The sequence below is a fragment of the Homo sapiens genome, chromosome 11 (assembly GCF_000001405.40).
Source record: "Homo sapiens chromosome 11, GRCh38.p14 Primary Assembly".
NCBI lineage: Eukaryota > Metazoa > Chordata > Mammalia > Primates > Hominidae > Homo > Homo sapiens.
The window spans coordinates 121,360,187-121,384,944 of NC_000011.10; the positions used below are offsets into that span (position 1 = coordinate 121,360,187).

General features: G+C 43.5%; 1 pseudogene, besides 4 other annotated features; it reads right to left on the reverse strand.

Moving 5' to 3' along the window:
* Window positions 1-1,466: 1,466 nt before the first annotated feature.
* On the reverse strand, window positions 1,467-2,936 carry BMPR1AP2 (bone morphogenetic protein receptor type 1A pseudogene 2; annotated as a pseudogene).
* Window positions 7,270-7,369: an enhancer, noted in NCBI's record as "active region_5644". NCBI's record gives its function as "activates an Ori minimal core promoter by ATAC-STARR-seq in GM12878 lymphoblastoid cells {active_cell/tissue: GM12878}" and the evidence as "EXISTENCE:reporter gene assay evidence [ECO:0000049][PMID:35858748]".
* Window positions 7,410-7,509: an enhancer, noted in NCBI's record as "active region_5645". NCBI's record gives its function as "activates an Ori minimal core promoter by ATAC-STARR-seq in GM12878 lymphoblastoid cells {active_cell/tissue: GM12878}" and the evidence as "EXISTENCE:reporter gene assay evidence [ECO:0000049][PMID:35858748]".
* Window positions 11,878-11,937: an enhancer, noted in NCBI's record as "active region_5646". NCBI's record gives its function as "activates an Ori minimal core promoter by ATAC-STARR-seq in GM12878 lymphoblastoid cells {active_cell/tissue: GM12878}" and the evidence as "EXISTENCE:reporter gene assay evidence [ECO:0000049][PMID:35858748]".
* Window positions 12,435-13,212: an enhancer, noted in NCBI's record as "OCT4-NANOG hESC enhancer chr11:121243330-121244107 (GRCh37/hg19 assembly coordinates)". NCBI's record gives its function as "activates a minimal SCP1, AML or CMV promoter by ChIP-STARR-seq in primed H9 embryonic stem cells {active_cell/tissue: H9 hESC(primed)}" and the evidence as "EXISTENCE:reporter gene assay evidence [ECO:0000049][PMID:30033119]".

The window sequence follows — 24,758 nt, forward strand, 5'->3', positions numbered from 1 at the left end:
AGCTGGGACCACAGGCATGCACCATCATGTCCGCCTAATTTTTGTATTTTTTGTAGAGACAGGGTTTCACCATGTTGCCTAGGCTGGTCTCAAAATCCTGGGCTCAAGCAATCTGCCCGCCTCGGCCTCCCAAAGTGCTGGGATTACAGGCATGAGCCACTATGCCCAGCCACTTCTCTCTCTTTTTTTTTTTTTTTTTAAATATGAACCATTTTATTGAAGAACAGTTATACAGTGTAGCTACAGATACTGACTAGATACTAAATATTTCTGCCTGATTTTTCATTGTCTTCACAAGTTAGGGAATAGAAATCAAAAAACCAAAAATCTCAAATGATTTAGCTGTCCAAAACATATTTGACAGTTGATAAATTTAGAACAGCTCTGACATATAAATTTCTAATTAGAGAATCCTTTCATTTGAAAAAATTGAGATGATATTACCCTAATGAAGTTTTTGCCTGAAGTTAACAAAGTCCTGGATTTGATATATTACTTTGAATGCATTAATTCTGAAAATTTATATTTAGTTCTACTTTATAACATTTCTTCCCTTAAGGATGGGATATGAGGTACACATGAGCTGGTTTCTACAGTATGAATGTATGTACATATATAAAGTATGGTTGTAAAGGAGTGGGTGATTTGCAAATAAAGCACATTATACACAAAATATAAATAACTTCCCTTTTAAAAGTTACTGAGAATAAAGAATACAGAACATGGTTATAGGCACTTACATTGCTATCAAATGCAGGAATTCATTTCAATAAGAAGTGCTTTCTTTGTAAGCATGGTTCATGGCAATAGAAGCTCCAACTTTGGAGAGGATGTTTTCCGTGACAAAAATAATAACCACAAAAAAAAATGGTGGTTGAAGGAAAACAGTCCAAATTTACAGATGCTTTAAACTTCTTTTGGCCTTGGCATCAGCTTTCATGTTAAAAAATAAAGCTGGTGGGGAAGCTATCTCACTTGCAAAGTAAATGGCTTGTATGAGATTGGCGAATCTTGGTCAGATATTGCATTTTTAAAGCACAAAACCACCAGCCACCAATATCTTCCTGTGCATGCATATAAATTATTTTCTTCTAATTCAAATGGCAGCAGAGGAATCCTGGCGTGCATGTGCATGGAGACACACACACATCACTAAGGAGACAGGACAAACTATCATAAACTAGGCAGTATCCCAAACACATCATCATCTATAGGCTGTTTTACAAAGGTAGAATACAAAGGAACTGAATGTCTCAGGTAAAAGGCAAAGTCTATTTCTCCATCTCTGCTGCACTCATTTATCTTCTTAAGGCTTTCACAGAAAGCACCGTTTTATGAACAGGCAATTCAGTACCCAGAGCTTGACTGGAGACACTAATCAGGATTGAAGTCTTGATGCAGTTCATAAAAACCCATTTAAAAAAAGGCATCAAAAACCACATTTAAAATAAAGCTGTCCATATATAAAGAATGAAGTGTTTAGAAGTTCCCAGCTTGTATCCTAATAAGAGTACTGAAAGGTTTAATATTAGCAGCCTGTGAACACGTAGTGAAGAGAGAGTCTGAGAACCAAGTTAACATCCTTATTCCACTCTAATTCCACCCATGCCATGGGTAAAAACAGTTCTTGCAGTCTAGAGTTTCTCCTCCGATGGTTTAACCATCAGATTTTTACATCTTGGGATTCAACCATCTTGGCAAGCATCTTCTTAATTCTCAACGCTGTGAGTCTGGAGGCTGGATTGTGGGCCCAGCATTCTGACATTAGCTTCAAAACTGCTCGTAGACATTCATCACTGTTCCACCGATTAGACACAATTGGCCGCAAACGTTTGACACACACAACCTCACGCATATCTTCGTATGACGGATCACTCGGTACCATGTTGTAATATGGCAATTGGTACTCTTCCACAATCCCTCCTGTGATACAACGACGAGCCATCTCCCAAATGATTAGGCCGAAGCTGTAGATGTCAGCCATGATGTAGGGCTGGAAGTGGTTTTTGTTCAGGCTTTCGTCCAGCACTTCTGGAGCCATATAGCGTTTGGTGCCCACCCTGGTATTCAAGGGCACATCAACTTCATTTGTGTCACTGTTGAATTTAACAGCAAGGCCCAGGTCAGCAATGCAGCAACTCCCATTTTTCTTGATGAGGATGTTTTTGCTCTTTAGGTCTCGATGAGCAATTGCGGGCTTTCCTTGGGTGCCATAAATTTCTGTGTGCAGGTGGCACAGACCACAGGCAGCTGAATAAGCCGATTTAAGCAGGGCTCTGGTGTCCAGTGTAGCACATTTCAGGAAGTCATAGAGAGATCCATTTTCATGGTAATCAGTAATCAAATAGAGCTGAGTCCAGGAACCTGTACCTTTAATGTCTGCTGCTATGAAACCAAGTATGTTTTCATGGCGCATTAGCACAGTTTGGTAGATTTCTGTTTCTCGAAACCAGCTGGCTTCTTCAGTGGTAAAGAATACTTTCACCGCCACTTTTTCGCCACGCCATTTGCCCATCCATACTTCTCCATATCGGCCTTTACCAACTTGCCGGACCATCTGAATCTGTTTGGCAATAGTTCGCTGAACCAATAAAGGTAGTCCAGACCCACTACCAGAACTTTGTGACTGGTCAATAAGGTCTTTTAGTGATTCTCCAACTGGAATAAATGCTTCATCCGTTCCAAATCACGATTGTAACGACGTCTGCTTGAGATGCTCTTGCAATAATGTCTCCAAGATGTGGCTAGATAAAACTGTACTTCCGATTTTCTCCAAACAGCTTTGATCTATGCTTCCATCTCGTGAATTCCAAGACAGTATTAAACTGATGCATATTTTCATAAGTCCGGACCCCAGGGAACGCATCCTCCAGCCCTCGGCGCGGAGCGGGTGGGCGCGGCGAGCCGCCGGGGCGAAGCGGGGCCCGGATCGGCCTTCGCCCTTGGCGTGCAGCGGCCCCGACCCGGTCGCGCCTCGATCGGGCCGTGCGATCTTCGCCGCGCGCGGACGGACGCGCCGAGCCTAAGCCTTCCTGCCCGCCCTTGGCCCTCCTCCCTCCTCGCTCCTGCCTCCTCCCTTCTTCGCCAAGCCCGGAAGGCGGATTCCAATCTCTGCCCACTTCTCTTAATTAATAAATTCCTTGCATGTTTAATTCCATCTTGGCCTCTGCTTCTTGGAGGACTCAGAAGAGTGCAGGAGCTTTGGAATAGCATCAGTTCTGAGACCTCACTGGTCCTCCAGAAACTTTCAAGAGCTTTCAGACCTGTGGCCTTTGAGGGTCCTGGCCTAGGTTTCCAGGGGCCTTCAGGCTGATAGAGCCTGGGTAAGGCCAGAAGAAATAAGCAGAAACACATATTTAGGGACAAATTTTCATGGTCTACGAAAAAGTCAGAGGTATGAAAGCGTCTGCTTTTCCTTATTTACTCATTACAGTGTGTTAGGAATTATACCTCTTTTACAGGTAAGGAAACCAAGGCTCAGAGAAGTTGAGTAACCTGCTCAAGACCACTCAATTAATAAGTGTCAAGGCCAGGATATTTCCGTTTCAAGACTACTTTCTTTCCATTCTGCTACAATAATCCTTGTTCACTAGGAAGGCAGCATAACATGGTGGGTAAGAGCATGAAGTTTGGAACCTGACTGCCTCAGCCTTGTCATCTTTAAAGTAAGAATAATGGACGAGGCACCAGACAAGGCCAAGGTGGGGGCTACTGGTTCCACATAGTTCAGTGCAGCAAGCATTTATTGAACATTTGCTGTGTGTCTGCTCCTGGGCTGGCCTCTGAGAATATAAAGATAAAAAGACAGACGTAGCCTTTACAGGGCTCATAGGCTAGTGAGGAAAGAGAGACAGCTAGATATACCAACATGATGCAAGCATCAAGAAAAGTAACATACCATGCATGCTCAATACCCTAGCCCTATTAAACCTCTCCTAATTCCCAGTAGGTCACCCCTCATGTTGAGGTCAGTCATCACATGTACTTCTCTTTATGCCCTGAATCTTCTTTCTCTCCATCTTTGTCTGGCTAAACTTTTCGTTAAGTCTCAGCTTAAATGCACTTCCTCTGAGAACGTCCATGATCCTTGAAATTAGGTACCTCTGCTGTCTGCTCTAGGCATTTATACTCAAAGTTCCATGGATGTGGGATTGTTTTATTCAGCATATATTCCCAGACTCTAGCTGACTGCATGTTGAGTGCCATAGGCATAAGAAAGGCTCAGTCAATATGAGTGAATAAATGAAGGAGGAACTAAAAAGAATTAAGGTTCTCTAGAGGGACAGAACTAATAGGAAATATATATATACAGATATATATGAAGGGGAGTTTATTAAGGAGTATTAACTCACATGATCAGAAGGTCCCATAATAGGCTGAGCTAAAGAGCAAGCTGAAAAGCAAGGAAGCCAGTTCGAGTCCCAAAGCTGAAGAACTTGGAGTCTGATGTTCAAGGGCAGGAAGCATCCAGCATAGGAGAAAGATGTAGGCTGGGAGGCTAAGCTAGTCAGTCTTTTCACGTTCTTCTACCTGCTTTTATTCTGGCTGTGCTGGCAGCTGATTAGATTGTGCCCACCCAGATTAAAGGTGGGTCTGCCTTTCCCAGCCCACTGACTCAAATGTTAATCTCCTTTGGCACCACCCTCACAGACACACCCCAAATCAATACTTTGCACCCTTCAATCAAGTTGACATTCAGTGTTAACCATCACACCTGGGGTTGACTCGGGCCACACTGGTATCCCAAGAGATTAAATCTAGTAGGTAGGGGACTGAAGAAAGAAGTTCCAGGAAACACTAAATTTAAGCTGAAAGAGCAATGATATTTAAGTCTATAAGTGATGAGTCCATTGGAACAGCAGCAGTATAGAGGATACAGACCAACTTCGGCGGCAGGGCTCAGCTAAAGGGAACAAGATGTGGCATCAGGAGCCCAGCCATGTCTGTGGAGGTTCAAGACAAGACATCGGTATCAGGGGCAACTAGTCCAAGGATGTAGACTAGGTAGGAACAGTTCACAGGTCTCAACTTAGGTGCCAACCACACCTGGTTGTTAGGAATTGATATACTGAGATAGATAGCGTCTGAGGCAGACATGCCTGCACAGGAAAGGGTCCTGAGATTTAATAGCGATGCTTAGCAGTGAGAACCAGAAGCCAAATAAAGGGAATCTCCAAAGATGTTTGCTATTTCTGCTGGTTGGGAGTTGAGAAGACAAGATCTAGCTCACTCCCTGCCCTGACAATCTCTGAACACAGGGCTGAGCAGATGGTAGCTCAGTTGGGGTTAGTTCTCACCCTCCATCCTTAGGAACAGGATGGGCTGAACATGCTTGCAGTGGGACGGGTCTGGGAAAACAAAGGACTGAAGATGACAGGAGGCCTGGTCGCCAGCCAGAGCTTTTCTCCAAAGATGCTGGCTCTTGCCCCTCACACCCAATCTCACCTCCACTCCGTAAGACACAGGGATGTAATGTCACCTGTCTGCTCCATTGGATGAGGTAGCTGAACTTCAGCTTCCTCATTAGTAAGGTAGAAATAGCAATAACTTGGCCGCTGAACAGTTGTGAAGATCAAATTGGCGTTAAAAATGCTTGGCCCAATGCCTGCCATCCAGTAGGAGCTCTGTAAACGGCAGTTGAAAGGCAGTATCTAGCTGGTTTTAAAAACACCTTCCTTGTCTTTGGAATTGTCAATCCTTTCATTCTGGGTCCCTCTTCCACTTCTTGGTGTACTTCCTCTGCTTATCTGCCATAAGGCCTCTTCTTTCATGTTGCCAAAAGCTCCCTCTTCTCAGTCCCTGACCAGGTCTGCTGTACCCACATCACCCCCTGTCCCCAAATCACCTCCTGCCCTTCTCTCTCTTCAGAATTCTGAACACTTGCTGAATTTGATCTTAAGTGCTAGAACTGTAGGGTTTCACATCAAGTGCATTTTAAAGAGACCACTTGTTAATTGAAACAAATGCCCGTTTAGTGGAATTGCAGGGCTGATGATCTCTGGCAGTAAAATAATATACAGTGCGCCAACAAGGTCGGGCAGAGGAGTGTTCATGACCCTTTTAATTGCACTGAGCAGACTGCACCATGCTTCTCAACCCTGCCCATGCTGCTAAATCATCCTGAGAACTCTTAAGAAAATACAGATTCCTTGGGTCCACCCCAGACTTTCTTACTCAGAATCTCTAGGGATGATGAGGAGGACAAAGACCCAGGTGACAACTTCACTTGCTTTAAAGGTTAAGCGGACGCAGGCTGCACAGCCTGGGATGAGAGCTGCTCTCCTTCCCTACCAAGTGCTGGGGTTGTACCCAGCAACTGGGTACCTCAACTTTGAGAGAATCCTGTCAGTACAAGCCTGGCGTCGTGGAGAACACCTTTCCCTCCTAGCTCGTCCTAGATCTCCAATGCCGCTGCCCTGGTGACGAGGAAACACCTTCTCCACTCCTACCCTCATCAGCACAGACTCCATTGCAGCTTCTGCCCCAACAAAACACATACAGGCAAGTCTTACTGAATGCATTATATATTTAAATAAGTGTTAGCGTCCATTATTTTACTGAATCATCGCAATTAAATGAGGTAATTACTATTATTATCCTCATTTTACAGATAAGAGAGTGAAGCCCAAATTAATTAATATACCTAAAGGCACATAGCTAGTAAGTGGTAGGATGTGAACCTAGGGTGGTTCAAATCCAGATTCCTAATTCTTAACCCCAGTGCTTGGTTGCCTTTACATTCTTAGCCACGCGGCCTCCACAAATTACTGCGTCTTCTTTGTACCAGAGGCAACTGTTATGTTGTGTTTTGGAATTCTCCACATTCTGCCCTCTGAGGGCTGGAGACGGATCAGCAGCTTGTAATCCATCAACAGCTTGGAGACTCTTTCTCTAGCAATAAAATCATAGCTCCCACTCCCTGCAGGAAGCCTTCAAGACACAGCTCTCGGGTTCTGTCTTCCCTGGCTCTTGAAACAAAGCCGTTGAAGTGGCTTCCTCCAGGCTCACAGCCAGGCAGTGGTCCACTTGCTTTCTTAATAGGATGGCTGGGGCCCTAATCCTCCAACACATCAATCAAATGGCAGTCAACTGGAACAGTTCATATAAGTAGACACTTTGTACTGTCCTTCCCTTGGTCTAGCCAAATTTGAACTCCTAAAAAGCTCTGAAAGAGGATGGTGCATATCAACTGTACTCAGAATGGTGCTTCTCAACCCTGGAAGCATTTTCAAGTTAACTGAGAAGCTTTTTCGAAAATATCAATGCCTGGGTCCTACTACCCAAGCCTTGAGACTTAATTAGACTGGAATGGAGCCAAGTACCCAGTGATTCTGAAAGCCCAGCTTTAGGACATTGCTGCGGGTCAGCTGCTACGAATATCTTCTAAACTTTGCAAGATGGTTTTCTGTCCCCCTTGGGAAATTTAAGTGGCCTTTTGCCAATGAGAAGGAGGTAACTGTTCATTTTAAAAGAAGCTACTTTCACTTTCCCTTCCACATGTGAGACAGAGAACCCCTGTGGACTGGTGTCTCATGAGAACAGAAACACTCCAGCTGAAACCAGAATGGTCTGCCTTGGTCGTCATGGCTGAAAGACCTGTACTGAGGGCGTGAAGCAGAACCCCCTTTATTAGCCAGAAGAATGAGTATAGAAATGGTAGGCTCTGGGGGCTGGATTCTGGTAATTGGTCCTATTGGATGGACTATCTTCGGACATTCCAGAAACAGAGCTGTCCCCAAAATCTTTAGAAAAAAAAAATGTTGTCACTCTCCCCTGTAATTCATTCCTTGGTCTCACAATACTTGGAATCCAACAATTTTTTTTTTCCCACACTTAATCCAAATGCATCCTGTTGCAATTAAACTTCAGTTGTCTTGCTTGTCCTTGTTTAAAACAAAGGACAGCTGTTCTCACTTGCACAAAGCTCTTGAGGACTGAGCAGAGGATGGTGATAGAGGTAAATACAGCATTGTCTGACCTTGGTTTTGAGTAAACGCTCAGGTAAAATTTTTCTCTCCCTCCAGTATCCTGAGGAGCTAAACAAAAGGGCATCTGAGTTGAAGGTCCTAGATTTAATTCCTGGAATGAATAATGGAGACTTGGGGTTATTTGTTACTGTTGTTCATCTCCAGTTTCTTCATTTATAAAGTTGAATAAAATTGTATTAAGGAAAAGCCACATCTAATGAAAAAATCATCCTCATTTGCATTCATTTTCACTGCTCCTCCATCCACCTCCCACCACCAATAGCTGCACCTGAATTTCCTGAACCAAAAGGAAGGAAAGATGAAGCCAGTGTGTGAGCTGACTGTTTTCTGTAACCTACAGAAACTAGAACAATGTGAGCAGCACAAGGCTGTTGCATTGAAGGTCTGGGAATTTTTTCCAAGAGACAAGTTTGGATTGTTTGTGGGTTGATGAACTGAACAGAGGTAGTTATCTGAGAATCTTAGGGGACTTACCTCAAGTGTCATGTTTCTGTTGGTTTGTGACTGTGCAGTCTGTGTTAACTGCTTTGCCGTCGTTCCCAGGACTTGGAAGGAAAAAAAAAATCCAACCTGCTTGGTGGCTAATCATTTGAAGAGAAGTCTGCAGTCTGTTAGGCAGAATGTCTCACTTCTTTCCCCCTCTGCCCTATTGCCATGCTATTGAGCTGTGTGTCTCTTTCCAGTTTTCCCCGTTGGGCTAGCTCTGTTTTCAATGTTGTCTTCGGCAAATTACCAAAATAGAATTTATGATTCATTGACCCAAATTATGTTCCCACTGACAATATCTGCAGAAATTCTGTTCAACAATAGCTTGCTGACTTTACAGAAAACACACATCACTCCCTGGAGTTCACCCGCCCCAAGAAGACCAACAAAAAAGCAAATTAAATCTTATCTCCTCGGAAGTCCTTGATGAAGAACATCCTGGTCTTGGCAATTCACTGCATATTTTCAAAAAGCGTTCAGAAAGCAAGATTGTTAGGGTTTTCTGTGAATTGCAGTTTAATCCCGAGGCATATATGAGAGACCACTCTGTATGAACAGCAACCTTTTATTTTCCCCTAAACCACAATGCTGACATTAAGATCCTAGACTTACTCTGTGTTCTGAGCACCTTAAGGCATCACAGGCATTTATCTCAGTGGGTAATTATCAATCGAGGCAAATGACGAGACAAGCGTCAATCATTTTGGGAAGTTTATTTGCCAAAGTTAAGGACTCACACTCTGGAGACAGGTCTATGCCTTTTCTCTGAAGATAATTCTGAGGGCTTCAAATTTAAAGGAGAAAGGGCAGGATATTGAGAAATACACAATTTTCATGTAGGAGGGGGGTGGGGGAAAATAGTCATTCATGCCTTTGTCTTGCTCAGTGAATCTGCATTTTTACATAAAATAACATAGATAATAAGGCAGAGGAAACGATCAGATCTGCCTTTGTGTCAGGTGGGCAGAAAGGATGACTTTGAGTTCCGTCCTATGTGGCCCTGCACCTGTGAAGATAAGCCATCGATTTGCATTGTCCTGGTGAATTTTAACAGAAATGCTTTGGGGTGAAGATCTTGGAGGCCACAAGGAATTTCCCTGTGGGCAAAGTATGAAGGAGGTGTGTAGCTTTTCATCTTGTAGTCATCTTATTTGGGAACCAAAATGGGAGGCAGGTTTTCATGGCCCAGTTCTCAGCTTGATTTTTCCCTTTGGCTTAGTGAGTTTGAGGTCACAAGATTTCTTTTCCTTTCACATCCTCCACCCCCAGCTTTTCTTTAAAATCTTTTGGAGAAAGCATTTTTAGAAGGAAAATGTGTCTCTGATCTCAGGTTGCTTTTCCCTTTTTCTTTATTTTTTGAGCTGGTTCCTCATCACTAGGATGGTTTACTCCTACAAATTCAGGTCCTATGTTGCTAGGAAGGCTCCTTCCTAGGAAGTCATGTCCCGCATTGCTAGGAAGACTCATTCCTGGGAAGTCGTGTCCCATGAGGATAAAAATAGGGGGAGGAAAGATGGAAATGGAAAGAAAAATATAGGGACCTAGGCCAGATATATAGCAACGAAGGGGTAGCAAACCTGGAAGCTGGTTCAGGCTATACTACTGCCTCCTTAATTAGAGCAATTCTTTGAGCAATCATTACTCTAGCTCTTTTGGTTGCATGTTGACTTATTTGCACGCACATACCATAACACCATTGTAAGCAAAAACAGGACAAAACCCAAATTATTCTCATTACAGGCAATAGCTTCTGTCACCAAGTTCCCCAGGACCCAAACCAGCCAACCTATCAATCAATAAGTGAGGGTTTTGGATCTGACAGGTTAGTTATCTGGGTTTTTATATCGGTCATAAGTCGGGTTATGTTATTTGATTTGTCTGGAATATAAACACAACATTCGGTTTTTATAATGGTGCAGGTCCCACCTTGGGCTGCAGTGAGTATGTCTAAGGCCATACAATTTGGCCGCACAGCTTTCCTCATAAGGAACTCATAAGGAACTTTCGTCATAAGACCTCATTTTTTTTTTAGCAAAGAGATACTCATGCAGCTGTCATTTAGGGCCTTTTGGGTGTAACTTGTTAGGGCCTTGTATTAGTCCATTCTCAAACTCCTATAAAGAACTACCTGAGACTGGGTCATTTATGAAGAAAAGAGGTTTAATTGACTCACAGTTCTGCAGGCTGTACAGGAAGCATGGCTGGGGAAGCCTTAGGAAACTTACAATCATGGCAGAAGTGCGAAGGGGAAGCAAGCACCTTCTTCACATGGTATCAGGAGAGAGACAACAAAGAAGAGTAGGGCACTATCCATTTTCGAAACAACCAGATCTCATGAGAGCTCATTCACTATCACGAGAATAGCAAAGGGGAAAACCTCCCCCATGATTCATTCACCTCCCACGTGGCCCCTCCTCCAACACGTGGAGATTACAATTCAACATGAGATTTGGGTTGGGACACACAGTCAAACCGTATTAGGCCTCTATATACCATATAACATCTTCAATACCTATTTGTGGTACAAAGATTGAAGCTAAGTGATCATACCATTGGAATACCGAATGTGTCCAGCAGGATTGTAAATGAAAAAGATTTGCTGGTTTTGGTAGGGTCTGAATTATTCATCCTTGTGTGCAAGTATAACCACCTAGTGAACTTCATCATAACATCCTGGAGGTAACCACAGCCATGTTAGTGCCACATAACCCTTATGTCCCATTTGGAGGTAGCCAATAAATACCTGGTTGCCGTACCCAATTGGTGGCATGCCAGTCTGTGTCTTGTCATATAATAATGTGGTCACAATGTTCTCCAGGTATCCACCCCATATCTCTTCTACTGTTTGGCCATTGGTCGTTGGTGTGTTTTCCTTGTTCCCAACATAAAGGAGCATTTCGGCTAAGCTGACCTAATGAAGGGGTGAGCCACAGAGTCCCATCCCAAATTTTCATTATCCCATTTTGAAAATGAGCCATTGTTTGGGGCATAGTTGTCACCTTCTCTTTTAGCTGGGGAGATGCTAAAGTGAGAGTTAGTGAGCTGATCCTTTCCATTAAAAAACATTTCCCCTGTCTCTTGCTCTTAATAGTGTTTTTAATGGGTCAGTTACTTATATTGTCTTTTGTTATGCCAGCACTAAGGATACCAGACTGTTTCTGTGATGTAATACATTTTTGATATTTTATCCAGTTCTGCCATTGGAAGACAGATATCCGCCATGGCAGGCTGGAGCCCCTGGAAAGAGGCATGAGTCCGCATATCCAGCAGGCCTCCTTTTGTAATCTGTATGCATAATCCTGAGCCCATTGCAGAAACAGGTTTGTTTCATGGGTGACAGTGGGTGGCAGTGGCAAGAAGGCGTAGTGACATAGGAGAAATAAAAGCAAGGTTGTGAAATTGATTTTAGCTACTAAAAGGACATTAAGTCAGACAAGGCAAGTGCCTTGTTCTGTGTAAGACAGCAGTTGCCAGTATCTCTAGGACAATAGTCATAATAGCTATTATAAAATAAGCACAGGTGTTCTTTTGTATACAGGCCTGGCCCTGTGTCTTGGGTTTAAGCAGTCCACAACAGCTGTCATCTGCTTCTAGTCCTGAGTCAAAGTTCAATGTTTAGTGAGTCGAAGGCAAAGATCCTTGGCGGGAGTCACTGTCCACTCAGGAGGTTGTGCCTTTTTTAAGATGAGAGATGTGAATCCATGAGTCTATACCCTCTAATTTTGTGCTACATGGATTGGCCAATAGTACCTGGTATGGCCATTCCACTGGGGTTGAAGGGAGTCCTTCATTAAATGTCTTTTCCAGTAGACAAAGTCTCCAGGCTGCAGCATATACCTGGAACCCTATCTTCAGGCTGTGTGCTGTGAAAGGAATTCTTTACTGAATCTTGTTTTTTTTTTTTTTTTCTTAAAAAAAAGATGATAAATGAAGCACAAAAACTGCAGGAACCCTACAGTGTCCTCCTTCTCCACATCTTCCAGATGAGAGGCTGCCACCAGGGTTACTAGGGAACCCATAGTAAGTAGGGTCTTGGGAGTTAGACCCCCTACTACCTTCTGTTGAGTGAGTGGCAGACAAGGAAGTGGGGGGATGGTGGACTGGAACATGCAGGAGAAGGAGGGAACAGATCTGGTTCAGGAAGTTCAGAGAGGTCAGGGTAGAGGGGGAGGTGGGGGATCTCCAAGAGGAAAGGAAGGGATTTAGAGGATTCCTTTAAAAGAGATAAAACATTAGAGAGTCTTTGGTTAGCACTTCTGAGTTGTTTGTTGGCCTCCTGTGAGGAGGTGAGGTGATCTTCCCCGCCTTTGCTACTCTCCAGGTACCACTGAAAGTAGCTCTCCCATCCTGGTTGTTTTTGTGCCTGTGTTTTCCATCCTAGTTCACAGGTATGCTAATTTGTGCATCTCAAAAGATCCCCATCTAGGCCATGGTAACTTGGAGTCTGCTTTGGTTATAAGGGTCCACTTGGTTAAACATTTGCATGACAACTCGCCATAAGTATTTTGCAGGTACCCGGCTGGAGTTTCTAAAGGTGGAGCTTTATGTTGCACAGCTGCTGGGTTTTAGCCAACCTAGAGGTCTTGTTCCCCATAATTTACTTTCTTTTTCAGATTTACCAAGTCAGGAAGTGTCAGACCCAGGGTGTTCTGCTTGCAGACCTAGCTTTTCAGGGCTGTTACTCCCTGAACCAATTCGATCCACCTGTGTCATGGCTGTGTGGCACAGTGTGTCGGGGCTCAAGGTGCGGGAGGGGTCAGCTCCGTATATGCACCTGCCAGCTGAGATTAGGCTCGAAGTGTGTTCTTCTGAGGGGGTAACCTACTCAGAGCCGCTGCACGTCTTAGGGAGCGTTCCCCCGAGACCCTCTCATATGATTCTCAGTTGCCTGAAAATGCCCTGAAAGGCTGAGGGGAGCATGGTGCTCTTATTTCTTTGGAGTGGAAAATTCCACACTCATAAGCGAGAGGGGCTTCGAGTTGGTCAAATCTAATAAGAGAAGGATGAAAACATACAGAAAAACCCCCGAATAAGACAGAAAACAAACAAACAAAACAGCTAAGCAAAACAACGATCACACAAATTATACATTTCTGAGTGCTCTAAATGTAAGGAGAAATTAAGACCAGCTGGTTGTTAACACTAACTTTAGTCATTAAAGAGAATTTGCAAAACAGAATCCCAACTCAGCTCCTTACCTACTGATGGGGCCCAAGCTGAAGACCGCTCTCTGCCAATGCAGAAGCAGACAAGCCCACCTTCCGTGAGAGAAGCAAGTGGAAACTCCCAGCAAAAAGGAGTTTTCCCTAACAGCAAATTAACCTCAGACACCCAACTAAAAATGTTGGGAGGTCAGGGATCCCTGCAGGAAAGAGGCCCTAGACCTTGGCAAATTGTCCTATCGGTGTGAGCTATAAAGAGCCCAAGCCAGTACCAAGTACTGACAGGAGGGCAGCCGCAGGCCTGGGCCACCTTTACTCAGGATCCCTCCGTTGTTACCAGATGTCAATCGAGAAACACGACAAGACAGGTCTCACTCATTTTAGGAGGTTTATTTGCCAAAGGTAAGGACTCACACTCTGGAGACAGGCCTATGTCTTTCTCTGAAGATAATTCTGAGGGCTTCAAATTTAAAAGGGAAAGGACGGGATATTGAGAAATACACAATTTTCATGTAAGAGGGGGGTAGGGGGAAAATAGTCATTCATGCCTTTGTCTGGCTCAGTGAATCTGCATTTTTACATAAGATGATATAGACAATAGGGCAGAGGAAATAATCAGATCTGCCTTTGTGTCAGGTAGGCAGAGGGATGACTTGAGTTCTGTCCTATGTGGCCCTGCACCTGTGAAGATAAGCCATCAATTTGCATTGCACTGGTGAATTTTAACAGAAATGCTTTGGGGTAAAGAGCTTGGGGCCCACAAGGAATTTCCTTGTGGGCAAAATATGAGGGAGGGGTGTAGCTTTTCATTTTGTAGCCATTGTATTTGGGAACCAAAATGGGAGGCAGGTTTGCATGACCCAGTTCCCAGCTTGACTTTTCCCTTTGGCTTAGTGAGTTTGAGGTCACAAGATTTATTTTCCTTTCACAATATGTATGGTGTACAATAACCAGGCTCTGTCTTGGATTTCTCTTGCCCATGATCTTAAAGAGGAAGCAAAGTAATCTGAAAAGCCAAGAAACTAAACATATTTTACTTCCCTTGAGAGGTCAACTTTTTTCTTAGTGATTTTTGCTTTTGTAAAGTTATCTTAGAATAAAAAAAGTGAAATTTAAAAGCCTAGTTCGTCAGTGTTGGAGCTCAGAAAGCAATACACCAAAGACTGGCACTTTTACATGCTGAGAGGCCTTTGAAGCTGCCTCAGAATCAAGGTTCCTCTAACCTTGTCTTATTGTCCACTGTTTCCCAAATCCTTCACTGGGTACAGGGAGAGACTCTCTCTCTCTCTCTTTGGACTTTCCTTATCTGAATAAGAAAGCAAGCTTCTTTCCAGAAGAAATGCAATTTTAAGACCCTCTCCCTAGGAATCTCATCAAATGACCAGCAAAGATCAACCACCTAAGAAGAGAAGAGACTGGAGTCATCACTACACCCAGACAGACTTTTCATAGAATTTTCAGAGAGCACCTCAGAGAGATTACCTGGGGGACTTTATCTGCATGATAAGACAACCTTTCTTTCTGTGTGGTTCTGCCCCTCACCTTCCCAAAAAGAATCATTTACTAATAATTGTCCTCATTGGGCCTATTCATTCCCCCATTATCTTCTCCCCTATGAAGGGGGCATTTATGTCTCAACCATCTGGCCTCTCTTTGAGTTCAGATTTTGTATGACTCTCATGCATACATGTGCATGTAATAAATTTGTTATGCTTTTCTCTTGTTGACCTGTTTTTTATTATAGGGATGTAGGCCATAACACTTTATGATGGGGAGGAAAGGGATCACCCCCTTTCTGCCCTACATCAGTTTACAATCTGTTTGGCAGAGATAGAATCCTCAGAAAGCAAGATAGAAGCATAGAAGATGAAGTAACCAGACGCCACCCTGCCTCCTCCAGTGAATGCAGCTACAAAAACTGAAAAGGGCTGGGCTTAATGGCTCCTGCCTGTAATCCCATCACTTTGGGAGGCTGAGGCACAAGGATTGCTTGAGGCCAGGAGTTTGACACTAGCCTGGGCAACATAGGGAGACCCCACAACTACAAAACAAAAAAAAATAGCCAGATGTGGTGGTGCACGCTTTTGGTCCCAGCTACTAGGGAGGATTGCTCGAGCCTGGGTGTTTGAGGCTGCAGTGAGCCGCGGTCACACCACTGCACTCCAGCCTGGGTGACAGAGTAAGACCTGTCTCATAAAAATAAAAAATAAAAATAAAAAAACAGAAAAGAATGCATGGAAGTTATTTGAGGATGCTGAAAAGTAAATGATAGCAGGTGGATTGGGAAATAAGACCAAAATGTGAAATATCACAGAACCAGCAGTAAGTTGTTGTCCCCCACCCTTTTTCTCCTTGGTATCCTCTGGCCTGGATTGAAGGTTGCCTGAAAACTGTGAGAACCAGAAAGAGACAGAGACTGTTCCAGGAGAGGTCTGCTACTTCTGGCTAGAGGAAACAGAAAATGGGACTCCTACCACTTAGGGGAAGTGGCGGCAGCAGTCGACTTTTCTTCTGCTTTTTCCTCCATTTTGTTGTGCTCCAGTCCCCATACAATCCTGAGGTGGTTGTGGCAATGGCAGCAGTAGGGCCCACGTGGACCTAAAACTCTGATGAAGAGGAACCTCCCTCTCTGATTGGGAGAAGCTCTGGTCCCAATTTCATGGATGCACCCCTGTTAGTTTTCTCTATCTCTGTCCTTCTGCCACCTGGCCCCAGATGCAGGCACACTCATAGAAGTATGCAGCAGAGTGGGGCAACTAAGCCCCAGCTTTCTGACTGGAGGAGCAAAGAGTGGAACCACAGGGATCTAAAAAGTACTGGGGAGATCACAGAGAGGGAAGAACTTGAGAAAGTTGTTTCTGAATTTCTGAGCTCACCCACAAGGTGCACATGGATGGATCTGGCCCTAAACAGAACACCCTAGACCTTGAAAACTGAACTGTGGTCTCAATTCACTGCTCCATCCAGATTGGTCTCTGGGTGGTATACATGTGGAGACAGCATTTAAAGGCTTTCAAAACTGTACTGACATTGGAAGCACACATAGAGAAGTGTGGTTGGAACATATGGCTTGAACCCCACCAGGCTGACTGCCTATTAAACAAAAATATAAACCCTTTCCATAAGGTTTAAATAAGACTCAGGCCCATAATATAATATCGAAAATGTCTAGAATGTAATCTAAAATTATGTGGAATATAACAAACAAATCTTGCACAGGAAAAGATAATCAGCAAATGTCAACCATAAGATGACACCAATGTTGAAATAATCAAACACATTGAAGAAGCTATTATAAAAATCCTCCAAGATGTAAGGTTGAACAATTTTGAACCAAATAGGAAAATATTAAGCCTTAGCAAAGAAATAGGATATATTTTAAAAAATAACCAGATGCAAATTTTACAACTAAATAATATAATAGTTTAAAACTTTGTAAAAACATTTTAGTTGGGCTTAATAACAGAATGGAGATGACAAAGGAAAGAATTAATAAACTTGAAAATAGATCAATAGAGGCCAGGCGTGGTGGCTCACGCCTGTAATCCTAGCACTTTGGGAGGCTGAGGCAGGTGGATTGCCTGAGCTCAGGATTTCAAGGCCAGCCTGGGCAACATGGTGAAATCCCATCTCTACTAAAATGCAAAAAATTTGCCAGGCGTGGCAGCGTGTGCCTGTAGTCCCAGTTACTCAGGAGGCTGAGGCAGGAGAATCGCTTGAGCCCAGGAGGCAGAGGTTGCAGTGAGCCAAGGTTGCACCACTGCACTCTAGCCTGGGCAACAGAGCAAGACTCTGTCTTAAAAAAAAAAAAAAAAGAAAGAAAATAGATAAATAGAAATTATTCAATTATTCAATCTGAAGAACAAAGAGGGGAAAGATGAGGAAAAAAATTAACAGAGCCGCAGGAACATATGAGGCAATACCAAAAGTCTAAAATTTATGTCATTGGAATCCTGGAAAAGAGTAGAAAGAATGATGTATAGGAAAAAAAGTTTGAAAAAATAATAGCAGAAATGTCCCAAATTTGGTAAAAGACATGAATGTGTAGATTCAAGAAGTTCAGCAAATCCCAGAGAGCATAAATTCAAAGAAATCCGTACCAAGACATATTAAAATCAAATTGCTGAAAACTAAAAAATAAAAACATCTTGGAAGGAGAGAGAGAGAGACAGAGAGAGAGCATCAGGAAATCAGGAAATAACACAGCTAAGACAAAAAACCAACAAAATTGAAAACAGGAAATAGAGAAAATAAAAGCTATTTATTTTAAAAGAGCAATAACATTGATAAACATCTAACAAGACTGATAAAGAAAAAACAAGGAAGTCTGAGGTTATTCATATCAGGGATTGAAGAGGAGATATCAGTACAGACCCAAACAGACATTAAACAGACAATCAGTAAGGGAAGACTATAAACAACACTATGCACATACATCTAACAAACTGCCAAAGCTTACCCAAAATACAAAGACCAATCCAGGACAGCTGGTATAGTTTAGTTTCTTTAACACAGCAAGGTCATGACAAAAAGGCAGGGAGAAGAGACCATTCTATATTTGAAGATACTTAAAAAGAATAATTGCCAATACAATGATTGAAACTTGATTGGATGCTGATTTAGGGGAAGAAAATCTGTCGTAAAATATTTTGAGGAAAATTTGGGGAGAAACTTTGATCATGGACTAGATAGTATATGATATTAAAGAATTATTGGTGCTGGGTATGGTGGCTCACACATGTAATCCCAACACTTTAGGAGGCCAAGGTGGGAGGATTGTTTGAGGCCATGAATTTGAGGCCAGCCTGAGCAACATCTCTACAAAAAATTTAAAAATTAGCCAGGCATGGATTAAGACGGAGGACAGGAGGCAGGACTAGCTTGCAGCTCCTACTCAGACAGACAGAGCAGTGTGTGGAGACTCACATCGTGAACTTCTGCTCCAAGAACTACCACAAAAACATACCAGGAAAGCCAAGAGAATCCACAGACCCTTTAAAGAAACCGGATCACCCCTGCAGGCTCCCTAAAACACTGAAAAACTGTGAGTCTGCTTGCTTTCTCAATGGGGAGGCTCGTGGTCTGGGGCAAGTTCTCAGCCCTGGCTGAGAAATAGACACTGGCTGCCTGGAAATAGACTCGGTGCTGTTGGAGGAGCATGGTGGAAGTCAGACTGGCTTTTAGGACTGTGGACTGCATGGGAGTGGGGTGAGGCCTGTGACTGCCAGCTTTCCCCTACTTCCTTGGTGACCTGTATGATTCAGCAGAGGCAGCCATAATCCCCCTGAGAATATAACCCCACTAAACTGGGAATCACATGCCCATCCCCCACAGCAGCCACAGCAAGCCCTGCCCAAGGAGAGGCTGAGCTCATATAGGCCTATTCCTGCCCCCACCTGGTGGTCTTTTTCTATCCACCCTGGTAGCCAAAGACAAAGGTGATAACCCCTTGGGAGCTCTATGACCCTGCCCACTGCCTGAGAGACCTGAATGCTTAACCAGGTGTACCTAGGGCAAGTCTGCATTCTCCCTATAGGACTGCAGCTGATGCACTCTTGAAAGCGCCACCTCCTGGTTGGAGGCCCACCAACACAAAACCAGCGCACTAAACAAAAACACAACCAAGGACCCTCACAGAGTCCACTTCACTCCCTTGCTACCTCTACCAGAGCAGGTGCTGGTATCCATGGCTGCAAGACCTGAAGACAGATCACATCACAGGACTCTTTGCAGACACTCCCCAGTACCAGCCCAGAGCCCAGTAGCTAGCTCTGCTGGGTGGCTAGACCCAGAACAACAAAAACAATCACTACAGTTCAGCTCTCAGGAAGCCTTGTTCATAGGGGAAGGGAGAGAACACCACATCAAGGGAGCACCCTGTGAGACACAAAAATCTGAACAGCAGCCTTTGAATCCCAGATTTTCCCCCTGACACAGTCTACCCAAATGAGAAGGAACCAGAGAAACAATTCTGGTAATATGACAAAACAAGGTTCTTTAACACCCCCAGAAGATCACACCAACTCACCAGCAATGGATCTAAGACAAAATCTCTGAATTGCCGGAAAAAGAATTCAGAAGGTCAATTATGAAGCTAATCAAGGAGGCACCAGAGAAAGGTGAAGTCCAACTTAAATAAATCGAAAACATGATACAGGCTATGAAAGGAAAAGTCTTCAGTGAAATAGACAGCATAAATAAAAAATAATCCCAACTTCCGGAAATCCAGGACACACTTAGAGAAATGCAAAATGCACTGCAAAGTCTCAGCAATAGAATCAAACAAGCAGAAGAAAGAACTTCAGAGTTCAAAGACAAAGCTTTCAAGTTAACCCAATCCATCAAAGACAAAGAAGAAAATTTTTAAAAAATGAACAAAGCCTCCAAGAAGTTTGGGACTATGTTAAATGTACAAACCTAAGAATGATTGGTGTTACAGAGGAAGAACAGAAATCTAAAAGTTTGGAAAACATATTTGAGGGAATAATTTAGGAAAACTTCTCTGCCCTTGCTAAAGATCTAGACATCCAAATAAAAGAAGCTCAAAGAGCACCTGGGAAACTCGTTGCAAAAAGATTATTGTCTAGGCACATAGTCAGCAGGTTATCTAAAGTCAAGACAAAGAAAAGAATCTTAAGAGCTGTGAGGCAAAGGCATCAGGTAACCTATAAAGGAAAACCCATCAGATTAACAGCAGATTTCTTAGCAGAAATCCTACAAGCTAGAAGGGATTTGGGTCCTATTTTTAGCCTCCTTAAACAGAACAATTATCAGCCAAGAATTTTGTATCCAGTGAAACTAAGCTTCATAAATGAAGGAAAGATAAAGTATTTTCCAGATAAACAAATGCTGAGAGAATTTGCCACTACCAAGCCAGCATTACAAGAACTGCTAAACGGAGCACTTAATCTGGAAACAAATCCTTGGAACATACCAAAATAGAACCTAATTAATGCATAAATCTCACAGGACCTATATAACAATAACATAATTTTTAAAAATCCAAGGTATTCAGGCAACAAATAGCACAATGAATAGTATTACATCTCAATACTAACATTGAATGTAAACGGCCTAAATGCTCCCTTAAAAGATACAAAATGACAGAATGGATAAGAATTCACCAACCAAGTTTCTGCTGTCTTCAGGAGACTGACCTAACATGTAAGGACTCACATAAATTTAGGGTAAAGAGGTGGAAAAAGATATTCCATGCAAATGGACACCAAAAGTGAGCAGGAGTAGCCATTCTTATATCAGACAAAACAAACTTGAAAGCAATAGCAGTTAAAAAAGACAAAGAGGGACATTATATAATGATAAAAGGACTAGTCCAACAGGAAAATATCACAATTCTAAATATATGTGCATCTAACACTGGAACTCCCAAATGTATAAGATAATTATTGCTAGACCTAAGAAATGAGACAGACGGCAACACAATAATAGTGCAGGACTTTAATATTCCACTGACAGCACTAGACAGGTCATCAAGACAGAAAGTCAACAAAGAAACAGTGGACTAAATTATACCCTACAACAAATGGGTAGGTATTTACAGAACATTCTACCCAAAAAACTGCAGAATACACATTCTTTTTTTTTTTTTTTTTTTTTTTTTTGAGATGGAGTCTCACTCCGTCACCCAGGCTGGAGTGCAGTGGTTCAATCTTGTCTCACTGCAACCTCTGCCTCCTGGGTTCAAGAAATTCTCCTGTCTCAGCCTCCCGAGTAGCTGGGACTACAGGTGCCTGCCACCACGCCAAGCTAATGTCTATATTTTTAGTAGAGATGGGGTTTCACCTTGTTGGTCAGGCTGGTCTCGAACTCCTGACTTCAGGTGATCCAACTGCCTCAGACTCCAAAGTGCTGGGATTACAGGTGTGAGCCACCACGCCTGGCCCAGAATATACATTCTATTCATCAGCACATGGAACATTCTCCATGATAGACCATATAATAGACCACAAAACAAGTCTCAGTAAATTTAAGAAAATTGCAATTATATCAAGTACTCTCTCAGACCATAGTAGAATAAAATTGGAAATCAACTCCAACAGGAATCCTCAAAACCATGCAAATACATGGAAATTAAATAACTTGCTCCTGAATGATAGTTGGGTCAACAATGAAATCAAGATGGCTGAGTAGTATTCCATACACACACATACACATCATATATATGATATATGGTTAAACCCCATGCAACAGGAAGCCACTGTTTCCCACAGTCCCTGTAGTCTGGGGCCAAGTGAACCAAGGTTCCCAAGCAGAGGCCTGAGCAGACTCACAAGCTCTTGTCTTATTGAGTTGGGAACGAATGGGAACAGGATTTTAGGAGATGTGGAAGAGCCGGAGAAATGAGAAAAGACAAAGGTAGCCTGGAGGGAAGAGAGATCCCTCACATAGGGAGAGAGAAGGATGTAGTACCTGCTCTAGGGAAGGGAGCTTTGAAGGGCTGGGGAGGGAGTAAGAGGTGGAGGAGGGGACAGAGAGAGATTTTGCTCTGTGCCCAGGCTGGAGTGCAGTGGCATGACCATGGCTCGCTGCAGCCTTGACCTCTTGGGCTCAGGCAATATATTGTAGAGATGAGATCTCACTGTGTTGCTGGTCTTAAACTCCTGGCCTCAAGCAATTGTCCCGCCTTGGCCTCCCAACGTGCTGGGATTACAGGCATGAGCCACTGCACCTGTTTATTTTTTAAATTTTTTATTTCAATAGGTTTTTGGGGAACAGGTGGTGTTTGGTTACATGAATAAATTCTTTCTGAGATTTTGGCGCACCTTCACCCAAGCAGTGTACACTGTACACCACGTGTAGTCTTTTATCCCTCATCACCCCCCGACCCTTTCCCCTGAGCCCTCAAAGTCCAATGTATCATTCTTATGCCTTTGTGTCCTCATAGGTTAGCTCCCATATATGAGTGAGAACATACGATGTTTGGTTTTCCATTCCTGAGTTACTTCACTTTGAATAAGTCCCCAATTCCTCCACAGAAGTGGCATGCTTTCAAAGCACAAAGAATTACTGCAAGTCGTTGTGGGCAGATAGTTTAGTGTTGATTCAGGACACTAGAAAATACTTGACATTAGCATGCCCCGCATCATAGGAGAGGCTATATTTTTATATCTAGATATCACTTACTTTCAGGGTGAGAATTGACCTATTGTCATTAATTTGCCATACATTTATTGACAACCAACTATATGCAGAGCACTATTAGGACTTTGAGAAACTGCTTTTAACTTTTAAAAGGAGATTTATTTGCACAGCTACATCCCAAAATAGCAAAGTGTTATCACCTGCTTCTCTAGAATCCCAGTTGGAGCTTGGAAATTAAACCTTCAGTGCATTTACATAGAAGTAGGAAAATTTCTCTTCCCTCTATGAAGGGGCAGGTTAGGTCTAGGAGAAGGTGGCTACCCCTGATGATCCACCTCCAGGGCCAACATCTCCATTTACAGTCTGGACGCAGGCCTACCTGAGCCTCAGCTCACTTTGATCAAGTGAGGAGAACTAGTTTCTCCCAGAGAAAGCAGAGATCCTAAAATTGATTCTGAGCTTTAAGACCAGGCAATTCCCCCTGAATCTGCATACCTCCTTTCTCCCACTACTACCCAATGGCCTAAGTCTGCACAAATTCCTTGAGAAAGCAGCTGCTCTTCCTTGGGCAGGGCCACCCCATAGGAGCACCATGGCCCAGCCTTAGACCTAGTACCCATCTTCACACCAGTTTTCTAGCCAGTTGAACCAATCCCAGTGTCTAATTTAACCTCCTCCCTACCATTCATTGCTCCCCAAAAGGGCTTGCGTCTGTTATTATAAGGCCAGAGAAGGAGATTTAGGCTGGTCCTTCAGTCAGCACTGTCCTACCACATCCTTCACACATCACTGTTTCAGAGTCTCATCCAGGGCTCCAGTCAGAAACCTGACTAACAAGAAGCTGGGAGGAGACACAGCCTCACATTTGAACCTTTTGAAGCCAGAGAGAATGCTAAGTCCTTTCCATGCTTGAGCATCAGGCTGGTAGAGCTCAGAACATTTGGTGTCTTCCATATATAGAGCCTGTAAGGTCTGAGCTTCCTGGTTTCTAAATGCAGTCATGTTTATCTGCACTGTTGCCTTGGTAGAGTTCCCAGTCCTGACGATGCTTCCGAGTCACCTAGCGAGCTTATTTTAGATTCCAGAGAGGCTGATTCCATGAGTCTGATAAGTTGGGGCTCTACAAAAGATCTGGGGTGATTTTGAGGCAGCAGGTACACGAGCTAGCATTTGGAAACAATTGGTGTACACTGTGGTGCTGGATAAATGAAGATACCAGTGGCCTCCTAGCATCTTAGGTGGTGACTGTGTCATTTAGGCCAGCGTTCACCATTTTATTTTGGTACCAGGGACCCGGTTTTGCGGAAGACAATTTTTCCACGGATATGGGGTGGGGGAGGCGGGAGGGGATGATTTTGAGATTAAACCGTTCCGTCTTAGATCAGCAGGCATTAGAATCTCATAAGGAGTGCACAAGATCCCGCATGCTCAGTTCACAATAGGGTTTGCACTCCTATGAGAATCTGACAGGAGGCGGAGCTCGGGCTGTAATGCTTGCTGGCCCACAGCGCAACTCCTGCTGTGTGGCCCGGTTCCCAACAGGCCACGGATGGGTACTGGTCAGTGGCCGGGGGTTGAGGACCCCTGATTTAGGCTATTCTGAGTTTTTCTAGGATCCCTAAGAATCCAGTTATCATGGCCGCATCACAGTTTTTTCAGGATGCCCGTTCTGCACAGCTCCATTTCACTCCCTGGAACAGAAAGCACCACAGCAGCAACGCACAGCTGGCTGACATGGCAGAGCCCTAAGTGTGAAGAGACACCTGACAAACTGCATTTCCCCTGAACAGTTCTCAACAGCCCTTTGAAAATGCAACATAGCTTATTTTATATAATATAAAATCAGCCTCTAAATCATGGGCTCAAGCGATCCTTCAGCTTCAGCCTCCTGAATAGCTAGGACTACAGGTGCACACCACCATGCCCAGCTAACTCAAAAAAAAGTTGTGGAGATGAGATCTCGCTGTGTTGCTGGTTTTGAACTCCTGGCCTCAAGCAATCCTCCCGCCTTGGCCTCCCA